Source organism: Homo sapiens, chromosome X (genome assembly GCF_000001405.40).
Source record: "Homo sapiens chromosome X, GRCh38.p14 Primary Assembly".
In the NCBI taxonomy this organism is placed as follows: Eukaryota; Metazoa; Chordata; class Mammalia; order Primates; family Hominidae; genus Homo; species Homo sapiens.
In genome coordinates, this window is record NC_000023.11 from 152,108,630 (window position 1) to 152,128,805 (window position 20,176).

Genomic DNA, 20,176 nt, shown 5'->3' on the forward strand with positions numbered 1-20,176 from the left:
TCCCTTTCCAGCCTCCTGTACACTTCCTTCCTTCATTAAGCTTAGAGTAATTTTGATTACCAAATAAATGTGTTTTCAAGAGACAGAATGACGTCACGTAGCATGTAAGCCAGTATCTACACAATAATCACTTGATTTTACCTTAACCTATAGCCTCAAAATACTTCTACTCATGCAGCCAAACCTAATGTCCAGCCCTGGCACCTATCCAGATAGACAGACCCATTTTCCTACTGCTCATGCGACAGCTCCACATGGACAGGCTACAGCACCTCTCTGACTGCATAATACACACAGATCTCATCCTCCACACTCTTCCTCATCAAGTCATCACCAACTTTTCCTCCTCCACTCTCACTCTCAACTAAGGGCACAGCATCATCTAGAAATCAGATCAATAGAGATTCTCTCCATCAGTTCCCAGTCCCTCACTTCCTAAAATGCTCACATGTCTTTCCACCTCACCATCTCCCCTACACCCCTCACACAACGAATTAAGGGCCTAGCCACTTCCTTTTGTTTTGTAGAGTTAGTGTGTCCTCAGCATATGTTCAATAAATGTTTGCCGGATGAATGAATGCATGCATGAACCAATGAATGAATGAAATTACCAGGCATGGGAATTCCCTAATTCAAATCTTGGAATCTGCCCCACCTGGGCCTCCTGCCTCCATGAAGAAACACATAGTTCCCTCACCTGTGCTCACTTGAGGTCACAGTTCTCATGGAAACTACAGCTGAGAGTGTCACTGTGGACACCTCCTCCCCAGGGCCAAACACTGACATGGAGATGAGGATGCTCCCAACAGGACCAGTGCATGATACTTCCTGCATTGGACCACGCAAGTCCATGTCAGCTTAACAATGGAGAGTGCCATTTCCACGGGGGTTCCATCTAACCTTCCCATGTCCAGACATTGGACCAGCCCTCTACCCTAGACAGTGTATGGTTGAAACATAGGCCAGCGATCACAGCCCCAAGACTTCCGCCCCCTTGCGTGCCAAGATCTCAGAAGCCACTGGAGTCCATGGTGTTCCTGGCCCATCTTGGCTGTTGGTCATCAGTCAGCAACCCACTCACATAGCCCAGCCTCTATGAAGGGTCCACAGGAGATAAAACACCAGCCCCCAGTAGGCATGAAGACAGCACTCAGCCCTGAGACACTGGCAAGGTTGCAGAGGAGCATTGGAGTGGTCAAGAGAGGTAGCTCACCCAGAATGATGCAGGGAGCCAGCCATACTCTTCCTGACAGAGGGAAGGTGATTCTGAGGGAGGGTACAGTGTCCTGCACGCCACTGGTGCATTCAGCCAACAAGCCTGTCCATTCAGATCACGTGGCCCCTTCCAGTTGGTAATGATGGTCCCTGGATTTCCCAAGCCTATTCTTGTTCATTGTCCTGTTCTCCCCCTCCCTTCCCCCTTCTTTCCCTCAGGTCCCTGCCCCCACCAGGCTGAACTCTGGATTCAGAGCTCTGATTGCCAGCCTGCCTGGGGCTCTGTGGTCCTGGTTTCGCATATGGTCTCTCTCATGGACTCTGGCAATTGCTCTCCCCTGGATCCTCCCAATGCCCCTCACGGGCTGAGGGTCTCCTGTCTCTCTCCTTCCTAGGCTCTTGTTCATTCTGACCAAATCTTTCTGAAAGGAGAGGAGAAATCTCCTGTCCACATATCAGAATTTCAAATCATTTTTAATTTTTTAAAAATGTTAATTGGTACAGCATTTTTGCAATGAAATTTTAGAAATATTTATAAAATGCTAAACTATTTATACCCTTTTCATTTTCACCCAACGTCGATGTTAATACATTTCTTATAAGAAAACATTAATGTTTGCCCAATAATACATATTCGAAGATGATTTTATTCTATTCATCATACAGCAGATGGGAAACAACTGGTGTCCATTAGGAAGAAAGAGTTTAATTAATTATGGTGCATGCCTACTTTAGAATTATAGAAATTAGTTTCAAAAGAGAGATCTATATATATATACACAGTTGTGGAAAGATCCCATATCCATTTTATGAAGTGACAAAGGCTAGTGGCAGATCAATATATACATTATCATTCTTGTGTATTAAATAAAAACAATATATTGTTATAGCTTATCTGTCAATTAATAGCCTAGAGTCAGTTTTAAAATAATACATACCAGATTGTTAATTGTGGTGACCTCTAAGGAGGGGGATAAACTGTGGAGGAGTTTTGTAAAGGGGAAAATTGTGAATTATATACACTTCTATAATTTTTGCAATAACAATATGCAAACTGTTACCTTTGAAATACAAAATATTTATGCTTAACAGAAATGGTAGCTATGGTAGTTACAGTAACTGCTAGCTGATGCATCAGAGAAATGCTGAAATTTGATTGGCATGACACAAGTTTATTTTATGCATACATAATTGGTGATACAGTTTGCCAGGGGCTCTATACTCTCATGTGACCCAGGGATCCATGCTACTTCCACTTTGTGATTCCATCATCTCATCTCAAGATGAAGCTGCCATGCTTGCCATTGAAAGGAGGGAGAAAGTGGAAAATGGCACAGTCGCAATTCCTGGATGTGACAAACAATGCTTCTGCTCATGTTTCAGTGGTAAGGGGTTGTCACACTACTCTTCCTAACTGCAAGTGGACTTTACTGTTCCCATGTGTCCAGACAGGAGAGGAAGACAAGATGTGGGTAAGTAATATAGCTTCCCCCATAAACTGTTACATAGTAAGTGCTCAATAAAAAGCAACTATTATAATTTGGTGTTACACAATCCATCTCATTTCTAGGAGGAATTTCTAAGAAGGCCAAATTTGCCTTGAAGTTCTCCAGTTTGTTCAAGGGTCTAGTATGTCACAGATGCTTTCTAATATAGGATCACAACTGTCCAAGAATCTTGAAGTTCTCAGCAGGAAGGCTTATCTTTGCAACACCCTTTATTTTTTTAACTTTTATTTTAGGTTTGAGGGTACATGTGAAGGTTTATTACATAGGTAAACACGTGACACAGATTTGTTATACAGATTTTGTCATCAAGGTATTAAGCCCAGCACCGAATAGTTATCTTTTCTGCTTCATTCCCTCCTCTCACCCTCCCCTCTCAAGTAGACCTCAGAGTCTGTTGTTTCCTTCTTTGTTTTCGTAAGTTCTTATCATTTAGCTCCCACTAAGTAGGCTGAGAATTTTTTCCTCCATTTGATTCTTGATAGAAATCATAACCTGTGAGTTTCTGCTACTCTGCACATGACTGAACACCTGTCAGGCGCCTCTAGGCACACTGAAAGCCAGTATTTTTCCATGGAGCAATTAAACAGACAAGAGGCAGTAGAAGGCTGCTTAATTATTCCTTTTTCATCAAAGCTGACATGTATTCCAAGGAATTAGGTTTCACCTCCTGGGGGACTCCAGAGATTTAGGAATTTAGCCTCAGTAAGTAGATGTTTGTTCCACTGGGATTTCCAAAGTGTTTCCTCACCTAATACTCATGAGGGAAGCTTTGGTTTTTGACCATTCATCTGTGCATGTGTTCAGAGGTGAATTCCAAATCAAACACCCTGTAAAAGTCTGATTGCAAGTATCAAGGTGGTTCCAAACTTCGTGTAACTTCAGGGGGATATCCTGAGAACTAACAGATAATATGGCAAATCAGACCCTACTCAATCCCTTAGGAAAACACTTGGAGACTGTGTCGAAGATAACCAGAGTGGTACCCAGGTGTCCAAAAGTCACTGTCCCATGTGAATGTTTATATCAAAATGGTTGTTGCTATCACATGGCTTCCTGGGTGAGAGATGGGACAGCCAGAGGACTTCTACAGGGAGAAGAAACGCTCCCTGTCAGGAGGAGAACAGGTGATTCTAGGCTGTTCTGTGGGGACCAATGACAAGCTGGTCAGCAGGCCAGGTTCCAGAGTCAGACAAAAAATATGGAAGGGACCAGGGGAAATGTGCTTTAATTCCGGAAAGTGCTGGGAATGGACAGAAATGGCCACATCTGGGCAGAGTCAGGTCTTGAGGAACCCAGCATACACCAGTCCTAAATGGTGTTTGATTCTCATTGCCACCTCCAGGTCTGCTTTTAGTATGTTGTGCTCAAGGTCCTTCTTTTTGTCACCTGAGCGACATGGTGCAGTGCTGAGAAACGAAATGAAGTAGCAGTCAGGAGGTCAACCTCGGGCTGGGGGGAGTGGGAGCTGCATGGGCTCTAAAGGAATTCACACCAGGGGTCTGGTTCCAGCCCTGTTCCTTACTAGCCACGTGATCCTGGGAAATACCCAAGAAATACCCTGTTATTATGTCCCAATTCACAAGCCCTGTGAGCCTTGATTCTTTATCTGTAAGCAGATGTGATAAGCCCTGTCTAGTAGGACAGTTGGAGTGTGTGCAACGTAGGTGAAGCACCTGGCTCAGGGCCTATTGTAAATTAGGAGTTTAAAGAGTGGCAGATGCCTGTTATTTCTAACATTATTTGACCCCAGGCCCTAGGACTCTGGGATTTTGCTGTTGTCATTCTTCTCCGAGACTTATCAGAGAACATAGAGCTCAATAGGACATGGAATAATTAGACAAAAAATGAAGTTTCATCCATAAAATTCAGTAAGTGGTTACCTCTTAGAAAATGTACTTCAAAATTTGAGTATGCGGGAGTTTTTCCCAGCCAGATGCAGCTCAAAGCTCCTTGAATTTGAGTCAGAGACTAACTGTTTCCCTCGCTCCCAGATGCTTTTCCATGCAAATCACTATTTTCATTCATGTTTTCACCACTTTGCTTACAACTGGTCAAATTGCACTTGAGATAATCTAATTAAAATTCATTTTTAATAGAGTCATCTCTAGTTCTCCCAGTCAGGCAGAAAAGTACCTGGCCAGTGGCTTCTGGGTCTCCTTTCCAGGGAGATTTATGCTTCTCTCTCAGGAAATGCTTTCAGATGATGAGTGTCCATCACCTAGCTCTTGCACTGTGTTCAACAGCACTGGGACTAAAGCACAAGATACTTTCCATTCCTGCCCCACTCCTCTCTGTTCATCCACCATCAAAAAAGAACTGTTCAGTTTTCCATTATGAGCTTTTCTCACACTCTCTGAGAATCTGGCCCTGGACCCCCCCCCCCCCCCCCGCCGATTCATTAGAATCAGCTCCCTCCGAAGAAACTGCAGTTTCCCAAAGTCCAAAAGGCCCCACACAGGGCATTTACCTCTGGACCACTCTCACCTGGAGCCCCACACCCTCACCCCTTTCTTACTTTTTCTCTACATCTTAGAGGGCACCTCTCCACCTTAATTATATGACTGCTGCTCCTAGACTTTACTACCCTGTGGGTAGGGGTGAGTCTGGCTTACCTTAGCATCTCCACTATTAACCCAGGGCCTTCCACAGAGCAAATGCTCAGTGCATAGAGAATAAATGAGCCAGTGAACAGGGAGAATGATTTATTCAGATTTAATTTGTCTTACATTCTCAAAGAAGCCAAGGAAATCCAGGTATGCACATTTTTTAAAAAAAATTTTACCGAGTAGACTGAGTATAAGGCAAGAATTAAATATCTTTTAATTTCTTTATGTCATCAGTTTTACTGCTCATTCACATTTCTAAATGAATACTTATTCCACTGCTGTAACTATGTCCCAATTCACAAAATGGAATGGATTTCCCAATCTGAATAAAAAACAAGACTCTTACTCCTAAACTATATAAACAGCACTATGTGTGACTACTGTCATTCATAAATTTGAATGCTGAAGTTCATTCAACCACCCATTAAAAGGAACATTTGAACAATTCCAAAAGGAAACAAAGACAAATCTCAAAGTCATCCAATAGAACAGAAACCCACTACTAAGAATGTTGACTGCTCTCTTCAAAGAGAGAAGAATGGGCCTCATGTCACATTAAGGCAGGGGAAACTAGTGGACGGAGCCCTGGAAGGTGCACTGGCCCAGCCCCCCTCGCAGTGGCCCTGGCTGCAGCTCATGCTCAGACTCCCTCTTCCTCCTCTCTCAAAGCTGCTTCATGCAGGGATGGGTAGGAAATGAGAACTCTTGCATTGACCCTGACCACGTGCTCCAGTACTTTCAAGCAGCGAGTGCCCTTGGACCCCACAGTAACTCATAGCATATGGGATCACTGCTGGGCACCTGCCGGTACTCCAGGTAGTTTTCCTGCACCAAATCTTGGGTGAGCAGCTTCCTGGGCTCCCCACAGACACTGTGCTCCCTCCCAACATACACCTTCATCACACTCAGCTCCTCCCAGATTTTCTCCTCAGGGACGCATTTGCCCTCCATTGCAATCATGCCCAAGACGATTATCAGGAGGCCCGTCTTGGGCATGATCTGATTATTATCAACCACCAGGCCATCATAGGAGTCCCAGGCAGGTGACAAGGGTGTAGGTGTTGCTGGTGGGGTCCGCTTCCTTCACGTCAATGCCAAAGACCAGCTGCAAGGACTCGGAGGCTTTGCCGAAGATCACAGGAAAGCAGCGCTTGTAATTTTTGATGACTCTCTCCAGCATTTCTGCCTTTGTGACCGGCTCCTTGACTTAATACTTGAGGAGCAGAAAATGAATCAAGTCAGCCACCTTCTTACTGAGTGCTGCTCGGAACACAGACTCTGGGTCAGGGGAGGTGCTTGGCCCCTCCTCTTCTTGGTTGCTGGAGCCCTTAATGGATTGCCTCCATAGAGTGAAATCGATGGCAGTGGGGATGGCGGAGGCTCCCTGAGGACTCTTGAGAGGACCTGGTGACCCAGCAGCAGGCACCTCCCCCAGGGTGCCTGGGACCAGAGGAGAGGAGGAGGACACAGCCTCCTGCTCCTCAGTAGTGGCAGCCTGCACACCCACCAGGCCCAGGGCCTCTTCTTGGGTGTCAAGGCCTTCCTCAGGCTTGCAGTGCTGACTCTTCTGCTCAAGAGACATGACGACTCTGGTCACCGCAACAGGCAGGAGTGTGGGCAGGAGCTGGGCAATGGAGACCCACTGGCCTGGAGAGAGAGGGAGCATGTGAGAAGCCTCAGCTAAAAACTGAACCTTGGAGGCTCTAACAAAGGCTTACTTACAGATCTTCTCCTTTGGTGCTCCTCTAGGGCCTCCTGGGGATCCTCTGGAGCTTCCTGGTGATCCTGGTCAGCCTGTCCCCTGAGAACCTGAAGGAAAAAGTGAGAGGGCACCTCAGGGTACACAAGCAAGCAGAGGCTGATTCTGCAGGACTGACAGTAGAGAGGGTGAGGCCAGGTGCTCTGGAGTCCCATATGTTCTGGGGCGATGGGGGCCATTAGTGTGCATTCAAGGCAAACGTTCACTGCTGGCACTAGACGTCTGCATCTCCTCTGCTCTGTGACCTGAGGGCACGGCCTCAGACCAAGGCCTCAGTGTCTGTTTCCTGGAGCTCCTGGAAGAGGAATGCATGGGCCCTCAGGGTGCAGACTGCAAGCACAGCCTCAGGCCCCCAGTGCTAACAGGAGGGTAGGCTGGAATCTGTGAGGTCTCCACCCTCTTGGGGTGAATGGTCCCCTCTGTGCTCACACAGGGCCCTCACCTTTCTCCTGGCAAGGCCTGGATCCCACCCTTTTGCTGGCCTGAGAAACTCAGATTAAGAGCTCACATCCCTGATAGGGAACAGGACATGAGGAGACTCACATCTGGCCACACGTGCCCAGGTCCTCTTGGGAAGGACAGGAAGAGATGCTGAAATGCATTGGAATTCATGTGTCCTGGGTGAGGAACCTGCTTCGTTCTTACCTTGTCTCCTGGCAGGGCCTAAGACGCTCCCTCTACTGACCTGAGTGCAGACCCCTCGACAAAGACCTCCCCATCCCTGACACCAATGATCCCAGGGTAAGTCGGGGGGACTGCAGCAGACAGCCCTGCCCATGCTCTCTGGAGTGACAGCAGGGGCAGGGCAGATTTCCGTGAGGTCCTCATCTGTGTTCTGGCCCAAGGGTGCCCTCAATCGTCCCTCATGTTCCTCACCGGAACTACTGACAGATCCTGGGACCACTCTGTCTATCCACCAGATGGGGGCCCCTGTGTTGACCTGAGTCATCCTCGGAGAACAAGTTCCTCACCTCCCCGAGATCTGAAAACAGGAATGAGATGGAGCTACATCCTGTCACCCCCACATGGGGTGTCCAGGTATGACCCCTTTGGTTCTGGGGTGAGTGTTTCTATGGCCTCCTGTGGGTTACTCTTCATCGTGATGGGGCCTGCCATTCCTCAACCTGAAACCCCCTGAGATGAGCAGATAGCTCCCCTTTACTGCAAGACCCCATCACCCTGAGGGCTCTTCAACTTCTTTCCTGTGGCACAAATGAGGTTGGCACATAGGGCTATCCTTGATTTGGTCCCCTCTGAGCAAAAATCAGGGGACAGCCAGACTCTGTGGGGTCCCTTCTTTCTGAGCCAAGGTATCCCCAATCTTCATGAATGGGGCACACATTGGGGCCTGCAGATGCTGGGACTCCTCCCTCTGCTGACCTGAGTCACCACTGCTCTGACCACAGCCCTCTCCTCTTTGTCACCCAGAAGGTGCAGCAAGCATGGGCTACAGGTGGCCACTGTGCACTGGACCTCCCAGGGCAAAGGTCCCCATTGTTCTGGACTCAAAGGTACCCTGAGTCCTCCCTCTTCTTCCTCTCCTTGATCCTGGCAGGGTTGGGCCCCACCCTCTGCTGACGTGAGTCTCCATCCCTCTGATTCCCGAGGATGAAAGAGGAGGCGCCTCAGTCTCAGACAGGGTTGGAGTGGACCCCCTATCCTGAGGACCTGGGTTCCCTGAGGCCTCCCTTTACTCCCAGCAGGGCTTGAGGAGCAGAGACTCCCCTGAGGCCCTGCTCATGATACTAAGCCCTTTCCCTCCTTCAGCCCTGGATGTGGACGTCAGAATGGGTGTGCCTGTCTGTCATTCCTGGGGCTTCTGTGGGTTGACTGCAGGGAAAGAAACAGATTCTGCCAAGATGGGGTAGGGTGTGGGGATGGGGCTGGGAATGCAAGTAGAGTGGGTATGGGGTTAGGGATGGGTATAGGGGTTGGGGTGGGGGCCCTCAATTCTCTCTCAGGGTCCTGATTTTGATGCCTGACAGAGCCTGGCCCCTGCCCTCTCCTGACCGGCCCTTCCCTGGTCACACCAAGGTCTGACTCCAGAGTCCCTTGTGGCTTAAGTGGCAGTGGGGAGGGGGGAAGGTCCAGCCTGAGAAGTCTGCCCTGGGTGGTCCAGGGCTGGCAGCAAAGGTAGTACTGGATTATTTGGGGTTCTCTATCTGGGTGAGGGCTTCCTCATTCCTTCCTCGGGGGTCTCACCTTGCCTCCTCACAGAGCCCGGGCCCATTCCCCTCTGCTGATCTCAGTCGGCTTCTCAGAACCATGCCCTTGATTCTCTCTGACCCGCAATGCACAAGTCAGCAGCATCACATCCGGCCCCCTAGGGCTTCCCTGGGTTGAAATCAGGGGCAGAATCGGATTCTGCCAGGATAGGGGTGGGGGATGTGGGATAGAGGTGCCGGTAGGGATGGGGTGGGGGAATGGGGGGTGTAGGTGGGGGACGGAGGTAGGGACAGGAATAGAGTTTGGCGTGGGGGTAGCCTCAGCTTTCCCTTAGGTTCCTGACGTTGTTTCCTGGCAGAGCCTGGGAGCTGTCCTCTCCTAACCAGTCCTGCCCTGGTCATACCAAGCTCTGTCTCCTGAGTCCCCTGCGGCTTAAGCGGTGGGGGACTGGGGGTGGCCCAGCCTAAGGAGTCCTGCCCTGGATGGTCCAGAGCTAGCAGCAGGAGAGGTGGCACTGGATTATTTGGGGTCCACTACCAGGGGTGGGATACTCCTTAGTCCTCCCTCAGCATCTCACCTTGCATCCTCACAGAGCCAGGGCCAGCTGCCCTCAGCTGATCTCCAGCTGCCCCTGAGAGCGAGGCCCTTGCTTCTCTCCGACCTCAAATGTGCAAGACAGTGGCACCACATCTGGTCACCCAGGGATTCCCTGGGTTGAAAGCAGGAGCAGAACCGAATTCTGCCAGGGTGTGGGGGGGTGGGAGGGTGAGGAGGAGGGTCAGGGGTGGGGAAGATGGGAATGGTGGGAGTAGGGATGAACGTGGTGGGGAGTGGGCAGGATAGGGTTTCTGGTGGGGGATAGGGGTTCTGGTGGGGGATGGAGGTGGGGATGGGGATGGAAATGGGGATGGGGTGGGGGATGGGAATGGGGGTTGGGGGCCCTCAGCCCTCACTTAGGGTCCTGATGTTGATGCCTGGCAGAGCTTGGCCACTGCCCTCTCCTAACCAGCCCTGCCTTGGTCACACGAAGCTCTGACTCCAGAGTCCCTTGCGGCTTAAGCCACAGGGGCTGGCAGGGTGCAGGGAGTGGCCCAGACTGAGAAGTCCGCCCCCAGGTGGTTTAGGGCTGGCAGCAGGAGTAGTGCTGGATTATTTGGGGCCCTCTATCTGGGGTGGGGGCCTCCTGAGTCCTCCCTTAGAGTCTCACCTTGCCTCTTCACAGAGCCTGGACCCACTTCCCTCCACCAATCTCAAGCCGCCACTCAGAGCGAGAACTTCGCTTCTCTTTGACCCCCAACGCCAAGTCAGTGGTGTCACATCCGGGCACCCGGGGATTCCCTCGGTTGAAAGCAGGGGCGAAACCGGATTCTACCAGAATGTAGGGATAGGGGGGTGAGGGTAGGGTAGATGAGGGTGGGGGTGGGGTGGGATGAGAGTAGTGGGGCCTGGGGAGGATGGGGGTTCTCATGGGGGATGGGGTTAGGAGTGTAGATGGAAATGGGGATGGAGTGGGGGATGGGAATGGGGGTGGGGGGCCTTCAGCCCTAACTTAGGGTCCTGACGTTGATGCCTGGCAGAGCCTGGGCCCTGCCCTCTCTTAAGCAGACCTGCTGTGACTCCAGAGTCCCCTGCGGCTTAAGTGGCAGGGTTGGCAGGGTGCTGGGGGGTGGCCCTGACTGAGAAGTTTGCCCCTAGATGGTCCAGGGCTGGCAGCAGGGGCGAAGCTGGATTATTTGGGGCCCTCTATCTGGGGTGGGGGCATCCTGATCCCTCCCTCAGCCCTCACCTTGCCTCCTCACAGAGCCTGGGCCCACTTCCCTCCTCCAATCCCAAGCCGCCTGTCAGACCAAGAAGCTCGCTTCTCTCTGACCCCCAATGCGCAAATCAGTGGCGTCACATCCAGGCCAGGGGCTTCCCGGGGTTGACAGCAGGGGAAGACCCAGATTCTGCCAGGATGGAGCTATAGAGGGGTAAGGGTTGGGGAGATGAGGGTGGGGATGGGGGAGGGATGAAGATGGTGGGGACTGGGGAGGATGAGGGTGCTGTTGGGGAATGGGGGTGATGATGGGGTTGGGAATGAAGATGGGAATGGGGATGTGGTAGGGGATGGGAATAGGGAAGAGGGGCCCTCAGCCCTCCGTTAGGTTCCTGATGTTAATGCCTGGCAGAGCCTGGACGCTGCCTTCTTCTAACCAGCCCTTTCCTGGTCACACCAGGCTCTGGCTCCAGAGTACCCTGGGGCTTAAGCCACGGGGGGCTGGGGGCGGCCCTGCCTGAGAAGTTGGCTGGCAGCAGGAGCGGTGCTGGATTATTTGGGGCTCTCTATCTGGGGTGAGGTGTCCTCAGTCCTCTCTCAGCGTCTCACCTTAACCCCTCACAGAACCTGGGCCTGCTTCCTTCCACCGATCTCAAGCTGCTCCTAAGACCAAGAACCTGGCTTCTCTCTGATACCCAATGCGCAAGTCAGTGGCATCACATCCGGGCCACCTGGCGCTTCTGTGAGTTGACAGAAAGCGGGGAACCGGATCCTGCCTTAATGTGGGTGGGGGTGGCGGTGCGGGGTGGCAGTCTTGGTGTTGAGTATGGGGTTGGGGGTGGCAGTGGTGATCATGGCACTGTGGGTCGTGGTGGGGGTGGGAGTGGGGGTGGGGAAGCCTGCCATTCCTCAGGGTGCTGACGTTGATACCTGGCAGAGCCTGGGCCCCTGTTCTCTGTTGATTGTGTCTGCTTCCCTCAGACCAAGTTTCTGACTCTGAGAAATGTGGTCAACGTGACAACATTGCCAGGGTCTTCCAGGGCTGACAGGAGGGGCTGAGCTGGATTCTGTGGCCCCTCACTGTGGGGGTGGGTGGACCCTCAGTCCTCACTCAGGAGAGTCCCCCTCCTGGCTCCTGGCTCTTTGATGAAGTGATGGGTGGGAGATGCTCTGTTTCTGTCACCTCTGAGCATTTGCCCAGCCGCACCCCCTGCAGAGCATGGTTGCGGGTACCAGGCCAGATGGTCCCTGGGGAGCTGCAGCACCCGTGATTGTAATGACCTCTGGGAGAAGACACACATCTTCTCACCGGGGTTCCTCCCCAACCAGAGCTAGACTTTGCAAACTTTTTGTCCTAAATGATTCATTCTCTCCATCAAAGAAATATGTTTTACATATTTTCCAAGTATATATGTAGGTAGCAATATATATATTTATTTATGTGAAAGAATACGTACCCTTAGTATGCATGATTCACTCTGACATTCTATTCTGCTTCTGTTCCATTGTTTATATTCTGTTGAAACAATATTTTAAAACGCAAATCCTTTCCCACTATGTTGGTTACAGATCGTTATTAGCAGACCTCCGGAGCCACACTGCCTTAACCAACACAGTTTTCCTGGAGTTCTGGTTTTACTCTGGGGCTACTGACATTGTGTTTTGAGGTGGTGCTTCAGATTGTGCAATGAAGTGAGGTGGAAATTTAAAAATGTTCATCCTATTCGTTCAGTCATCTGCCGTATAGGCAGGCTGCAGACCTCCCCTACATCTCTGCTGCTGACCCCCTTCCAGCCAACACTGTCCCAAACACAAGTACCAGTTCAACACAGTCTTCAGTCTCATCCAGGGTTTTCTCTGTTTTGTTGCTTAGATTTTATTGCTGATATTGTTTTTTTTTTTCCTCTTTCTTTTTCCCTTCTATAATTTTCCAGGGTTGATTTGGGAAGCAGAGAATAGCCGCCCAAATTTGATTGTAATTTTGGCGGCTACAGGTAAGGCACTAAATTGTAAATAATTTAAGTATAATTGACATTTTTACAATGTTCTGTTCCCCATCAATGAACAGGTTATGCTCCTCTTTATTTCAGACCCTCTTAACCTGAATCTATCAGTATACTTTGATAGTTGCCTCTAGAAAGACCTTATACATTTTTGTTAGGGTTCTTTTCAGGTTAATTCTTGGATTTTGTTACTACTGCAAATGGCATATTTTCTATTGTTTGTTCTAATTAGGTATTGCTTTCGCATGTCAAAGATTTTGACTTTGCTATAGTAATGTTACACACCTCTTTCTGAAAGCCCATTCACCTGAATATTCCATTTGCCTATTCCTTTGAATTTTCAAGACCGATAATGACATTATCACTAAACATTATGTATTTTTCCAATATTCACAACCCTTATTTATTTTGATACTTATAGCTCTGACTTTGTGTCTCAATGATGATTTAAAACATAGAGATAATAGCCTACATCTACTTCTTGCTCCTGACATTAATGATAATTCTTTGAACGTTTCACATTTAAGTATGTTTGCTGTTGATTTTAGGAAATAGAAGTTATCTTTCAATATAGGTTAACTAAATATTTTTACCATGAACTCATCGAATTTCTTTCAAAAGCTTTTTCTGTACCCATTAACACAATCAAATTTTTTTCTACTCTATTTTGTATGTAAAGAATTACAATGAAACTTTTTTTCCTAATGTGGAATCATATTGTCTTTCCTTGGGCAGAGCCTGTTTGTTCATTTAATATTCTACTAATTTACATAGAATAATTGCTGCTATGTAACAGAGCTTGCTTGATGTGTTTTTTATATCGGGGTGGGAGGTGGTCCTCATCTGTTTTTTGAATCCAAGAGGGCTCATCTGGGAGAACAAAGTGAACAATTGCCTATATTTTGTGTGCATTGGAAGAGCTGAGATAAGATGGTGGTTAGTTTCCCCTGATTATTTAGTAGAATCGGCCTCCAAAACTGACTAACATGGAACGTTTGAGGGTGGCTTGAGCTTTGAATAGTTTGAGCTTGTATAGTTTCAGTTTGTAAAGTTTAATTAAGGTTTTCTTTTTGGATCAATTTGGTCACTTGGTCACTTATTTATTTATTTCTACAAAGTGATCAGTTTCACTTATGATTTAACTTTTAGTGGAATGATATTTATGATAAAAAATGTTTTATTAGGGAAAGCCTCAAACATACAGATTAATAGAGAGACTAATATAGTGAACCCAGTGTAGATGACTCTCAGCATCAATAACCTTAACTACACGGCAAACCTGTTTCCAGTTAGACACTCACCTACCAGCACCTAAGCTGCTGGAGTAACGTGGAGCAAGTCTAAGACATCATACGATTTCATCTCTAAATAATTCAATATGATATTTTTAAAAGATAGGGACTTTGTATTAAACAAAAACCCAATATTATTTTCATTTCTAAAAAGTAAATAAATGATTATCAAATGTTCAACTGTTTTACACACTTACCTGGTAGACTTATACTTTATAAAAATTGTGTTTCTTTGTATGAGTACCCAAGTATAATATTATATAGTGATTTTTTGGTCATACTCCTTAAGTCTTCTATCATTTGTAGGTCCCCTCCACATGACCTGTTTTCTTGCCACTGTTTTGTTGTTGTTGGAAAGAAACAGATCTTGTGTTCTTTCCAGTTTTCCATAGTCTGGATTTGGCTGAATACAACACTGTGATGTCCTTTATCATATTCTTTAGCCCTCCATTTCTAGGACTACAAGATGCTCTAGGCTCATTGGGTTTATGCCCTGCCCCAGTCCTAAAATCAGCCATTTCTCCAGAGATCTGGTTCCTTTTAATAGGAAATGGTTCTAGAAATTTACATCTGGGTGCTAGGTGTGCTCATTGCTACTTTTGCTTTTGGTGTTGAATTTACAAACTTTTTACCAAACTTAAAGTAATGTAAATTTTCTCTTATTTTCTTATAGAAGTTGTATAATTTTTGCATTTTGCATTAGGTCTATGATGTAGCTTGAGTTAATCTTTGTGAAATACCTAAGGATTTGTCTAGGTTATTATTATTATTGTTGGTGTATAGATGTCCAATTTTTCATGCACCATTTGTTGGAACAACTATACTTTCAGCATTATTGCTTTGTTATAAATCACCTGAATATATGTGTGCAGGTCTATTTCTGGGCTGTATTCTGTTTTTTTAATATATGTTCTTTATCCATTCACCAAAAGAAATACATCTTGGATGCTTCTATTTTTGGTGATTATGAAATAAGCTATTGTACACATTCACATACAAATTTTTATGTAGGCGTAAGTTTTCAAATCAGTTGGGTAAATACCTAGGCGTAGGACTGCTGAATCTTATCGTAAGACTATGTTCAGTTTTTTTAAGAAAATGCCAAACTGTCTACTTCCAAAGTGGCTGCATCATTTTGCATTTCCACCATCAATGAATGAGAGTTTCTGTTGCTCCACATCTTCACTAGCAATTGGTCTTTTTTTTATCTTAGACATTCTAATAGGTGTATAGTGGTTTCTCATTTTAGTACACAATTCTCTAATGACAAAAGACGTCCAGGACTTTTACTATGCTTATTTGCCATCTGTATATCTTCTTTGGTGTACTGTCTGTTCAGATCTTCAACTATTTTCGTTTATTTTCTATTGTTGAGTTTTAAGAAGTTGTGTATATTGTAGAGACAAGTTCTTTATCACATATGTGTGCTACAGATGTTTTCTGCTAGTCTGTAGCTTCTGTTTTTATTCTGTTAACTCTGTTTTTTGAAGAGCATAAGATTTTTATTTTAATAAAATCCAACTTGGCTAATTTTTCCTTCATTGATGATACTTTTGGTGCTGAATTTTAAAACTCATCATCAAACTCAAATTTGTGTAGATTTTCTCTTACGCTTTCTTCTAGAAGTTGTATGGTTTTTGCATTTTGCATTAGATCTATGACGTATTTTGAGTTGATCTTGTGAAATTTTTAAGGATATGTCTAGGTTATTATTATTATTATTATTATTATTTGTGTCTAGATGTCCAATTGTTCAGGCACCACTTGTTGGAAAAAACTATACTTTTACCATTATTGCCTTTGTTGCAATTCACCTGACTATATGTGTGCCAGTCTGTTTCTGAGCTCTATTCTGTTTTATTAATCTATGTGTTTATTCTTTGCTAATGGTTATGTCCTCTACCGCATTCATATTTTGAATCCCTCAGCTCCAGGGTGTCTGTATTTGGAGATGGGGCCTCTAAGGAAGTAATTAATATTGAAAGAGGTCATAAGGGTGGGGCCTTGATCCCATAAGATTAGTGTGGTTATAAGGGAAGCAAGAAAGCACTCTTGTGCTTGCATGAGTTCTCTCTCTCTCTCTCTCACCCTCTCCCTCCCTCTCTCTCTCACTCTCTCCCTCCCTCTCTCTCTCTCTCCCTCCCTCCCTCCCTCCTTCCCTTTCTCCCTCCCTCCTTCCCTTTCTCCCTCTCTCCATGCACATGCACAGATGAAAGGACAAGAATGAACATAATGAGAATGGGCCATCTACAAGCTGGGAATAAGAAACTGACCCTCCAGTCCTTTATCTGTGACTTTTAGTCTCCAAAACTGTGAAAAAAAATAATTTCTGTTGTTTCAGCTAAATAATCCATGCCATTTTGTTATGGAAGCCAAAGCTGACTAAAACATAACCACAGGTTATAAAACTTTTCTTCTGTTTTCTCCTAGAAAAAAAGTATTTTTGACATTTAGGGCTATGATTCATTTTGAGTTACATTTTTGTATGGGGCAAGGTATGTGCAATGGTTAGTTTTATGTGTTAGCTTTTCTAGGCTATAGTACTCAGTTGTGTGGTCAAACACTAGCCTAGCTGTTGCTGTGAAGGTATTTTGTACATGTGATCAACATTTACAATCGATTTTAAGTAAAGCAGTTTACCTCCATAACGTGGGTGCGCCTCATCCAATCAGTTGAAGGTCTTAAAAGACCGAGGTTTCCTGGAGAAGGAATTCTACCACAAGATTGGAACGTAAAAACGCTGTGTCAGTTTCTAGCCTGCTGCCCTGTCCTACAGATTTTGGATGTATCAGACCTCATAGTCACCTGAGACAATTCCTTAAAATATCTTTCTTTCTCTCTCTCCCTTTATAGATAGATAGATAGAGTATGGATTGAAATTTAGTTTTGCATATGGATATCCAATTGTTTCAGATCAAATTGTTGAATATACTATCATTTCTTTCCTCTAATCTTCATTTGCATCTTTATCAATAATTAGTTGTCTATATATACATATACATGTGGATCCACTCCTGGACTTTATTCTCTTCCATTGATATACTGCTATAATTATGACAGTTCCACACTATACTGATCATTGCGAGTTTATAAGCCTTGAAATGAAGTAGGGTAACTCCCCCAACTTTGTTCTATTTTTTAGTTTTCTTTGACTATTCTAGGGCCTTTGCACATCTATATGAATGTTAGAGTCAGTCTCTCAATTTATATTTTAAAAATCCTGGAATTTTGATTTTTATTGCATTGAATATGTCAAAAACTTTGAGGGCAAATGACATCTTAATATTCAGTCTTTTGACTCATGAATAAAGTGTATGTCTCTGTTTACTTAGATTCTAATTAAATTTATCTCTCTAATGTTTTATAGTTTTCAATGGATAGATCTTATACATCTTCTGTCATATTTATCCATTTAATATTTATTGTCTAATGCTATTTTAAATTGCATTGTTTTTGTCTCAGTTGCCAATTGCTCATTGCTAGTGTAAAAACACAAGTATAATGATCTATATCCAGCAACATTGCTAAACTCTTATTAGTTTTAGAAGCATTTTTTTGATAGATAGAATTGTCCGTATATACTCTTATTTTCTGTAAATAAAGACAGTTTTATTTGTCCCTTTCCAATACGAAGGCCTTTTAAAAAAACTTATTACACTGGACAGAACCTCAGGCACGTTGTTGAACTATTCTTCTCAACACCACCCTTTTCCATGAACTCGTCAGTCTTAGGTTTTAGTTTCCTACATGCAAATATCCTGCGTAATTTCTGGCATGAAAATCTGCCTCATTCACTCTACACTGTTAAAATCCAAGCCTGGGTACCACATCTACTGAGATGAGCATAACCCTACAGTTGAAACAAGACACATAAGATGTCCAGTGGAGCAAATGTATTCACTGGAGTTTGACAGCCTGAATGCAGTGATTTCAGACTGGGGAAAACTGAAACCCCAGGAGACTTCTGTGGACACTTTTCCATTGGTAGGATGGGAAAGTTCCTTGGTGGTATCCAAGTGAGTGGTCTTCAAGATGCATAAGAGAAATTTTTAGGAGTGAAGTAGGATGATTCACATCTACACATATATTTAAATACAGTCAGATTACCTCGGAGAGATTTCCGGTAAGATGTACAAAAACTAGATAATGGTGGGAGAAAACAGAAGGAAGCACTGAAGTGGGGTGACTTTGGGAAAAGGCTTAGAGGAAATACTCTCTCCCTGCCATGTGACCCACCCAAGTTGAACATGGGAGGAAAGGAGCACCGCTACTCAGTTTGGGAAAGCTCTTTAGGAGTGCTAAAGAAATGTCCCCTTTTTCTTCAATCAGAGCATCCTGGCTTTGTCATCAGACTCCCCTCTTCCCTCTCTCCATACCCCTTCCCCCCTCCCACTCACGACAATGTCCTTATAGTGCTTTGTGATGTCTAAGCCCCTCACCCCTCAGAGCCACCATTGGCTGGGTAGTGGCTTGCTGATCCATCAAAGCTCACAGGTATGGCTTTATTGTCACGGTGGAAGGGGGTGTATATATAGGGAGGCCAGGAGGCATGGAGTAGACGATTGAGAGACACTGACATGGTGAAGATGACCAGGAAACCACAAACCTCCAGCCCAGGTGTCAAAGAACAACCACCTGCCAACACCAAAGGGGCAAGGAACAGGAAGGCCCCCTGTCAAACTAAGTCTATAAGTCCTATCAAGGTGAGAGAAGCTCCTCTTAGTCTTCCCCTTGACTCCTCCCTCCCAAGACTCCTACCCTGTCCTACCCTACCCCCACCTCAGCCAGTACCTCTTCTCCTGAAGCCCCTGTTCCCACCCCTCCTCCATTCTCTTCCCCAAAATCAGTCCCCTTCTGTGATCTCCCTGTTGTCCTTTCAGGTTCCTAAGACAACCAGGAAGGGAAAAGGAAACCTTTTAGGGAATTCCAGAAAAAAAAAAAACAACTCTCCCAAAAAAGATCTCTGCTTCAAGAAAACCTGAGGAAGGAAGCGAGCCAAAACTATCCAGCCCCTGTGACCAGCTGAATGAGGAACTTAATCAAAATTAGCCACAGCAGGACCAAAGCAAGGAGACCTCCAACATCCCTAGTGTCTCCCCGGGCAGCCAGTAATTTCAGGGCAAGACCAGAGAACTCAGATTTACCTGAAAAGTCTCCAGAGGTCTAACCCCAAATAAATAGCCAACAGGGTCTAGAGTACGTTTTACACCCCACAGGGTACACCCCACGGTGATCAAAATAAAAAGAACCTGTTGTAAAATGGGGTGTGTGTGTGTGTGTGTGTGTGTGTGTGTGTGTGTGTGTGTGTGTTCTAGGATGGTGGGGAGGGAGGAAGGAGGGGAGAGGTGGGAGTTTGGGAAGGGAGGAAGGTGGGATCCTCTTCAATTTCTTTAAATTCAACTTGCTCTTCTTTCTTTAGTTTCCTAGAGTGAAAGTTTTGGTTATTGATTTTATATTTTATTTTCTAATATAAATATTTAAAATATGCTATACATTTTTCCCAAGGACTACTTTAGCTGAATCCCTCAAATTTTTGTATGTATATTTTTATTTTCATTCAATGTAATGTATATTCTAAAATTATCCTAAGAATCCCTCTTTGATCCATAGATTACTTAGGAGCATATTTTAAAATTTACAACATTTGAGCATTTTTCAGTTATCTTTGTGTTTGATTTTGAGCTTAACTACATTATGGTCTTCAAGAAGCATCTTAAAGAATATGCTTTTTATTATTTCTAATATTTTCAATTTGTAAGGTTTGTTTTATGGCCCAGAATACCATCTAGCTTGGTAAATATTTTATGCACACTTGAGAGGAATGTTTATTCTGCTATAGTTGGATGCGGTGTTTTTGTTTGTTTGTTTGTT

The 20,176-nt window shown here is 45.5% G+C and overlaps 1 protein-coding gene, 1 long non-coding RNA gene and 1 pseudogene across 5 annotated transcripts in view, besides 1 other annotated feature; 1 reads left to right on the plus strand and 2 right to left on the minus strand.

The window, feature by feature from the left end:
* On the plus strand, positions 1 to 19,565 carry LOC105373369 (uncharacterized). 3 transcript variants are annotated; one of them, XR_001755974.2, is made up of 10 exons: positions 1,841 to 2,687; positions 7,079 to 7,216; positions 7,749 to 7,829; positions 8,009 to 8,126; positions 10,477 to 10,632; positions 11,056 to 11,224; positions 11,635 to 11,752; positions 12,945 to 13,004; positions 18,826 to 19,008; positions 19,186 to 19,565. It is a non-coding gene; the product is annotated as an uncharacterized LOC105373369 (long non-coding RNA). The 3 variants fall into 3 exon arrangements; XR_938523.3 differs by having other exon boundaries at positions 18,826 to 19,565; XR_007068347.1 differs by having other exon boundaries at positions 1 to 2,687; positions 12,945 to 19,565.
* On the minus strand, positions 5,420 to 9,310 carry MAGEA5P (MAGE family member A5, pseudogene; annotated as a pseudogene). The gene is made up of 3 exons (NR_171383.1): positions 9,291 to 9,310; positions 7,052 to 7,138; positions 5,420 to 6,976 (listed from the first exon to the last, which is right to left on the minus strand). The product of NR_171383.1 is annotated as an MAGE family member A5, pseudogene (transcript).
* The window catches only part of LOC100533997 (MAGEA10-MAGEA5 readthrough), a 24,529-nt gene continuing 9,772 nt past the window's right edge, over positions 5,420 to 20,176 (minus strand). The window contains exons 3-4 of the mRNA NM_001204811.3: positions 7,052 to 7,138; positions 5,420 to 6,976 (exon numbers count right to left, since the gene is read on the minus strand). Of these exons, the coding sequence (NP_001191740.1) occupies positions 6,537 to 6,911 (375 nt within the window). The 5' untranslated portion in view covers positions 6,912 to 6,976; positions 7,052 to 7,138 and the 3' untranslated portion in view covers positions 5,420 to 6,536. The remainder of the gene's footprint in view (positions 6,977 to 7,051; positions 7,139 to 20,176) is intronic.
* Positions 20,172 to 20,176: part of an enhancer, noted in NCBI's record as "CDK7 strongly-dependent group 2 enhancer chrX:151297273-151298472 (GRCh37/hg19 assembly coordinates)", that runs on past the window's edge. NCBI's record gives its function as "activates an origin of replication core promoter dependent on BRD2, BRD4, P300/CBP, MED14 and CDK7 cofactors, with strong dependence on CDK7, by STARR-seq in HCT116 cells {active_cell/tissue: HCT116}" and the evidence as "EXISTENCE:reporter gene assay evidence [ECO:0000049][PMID:35650434]".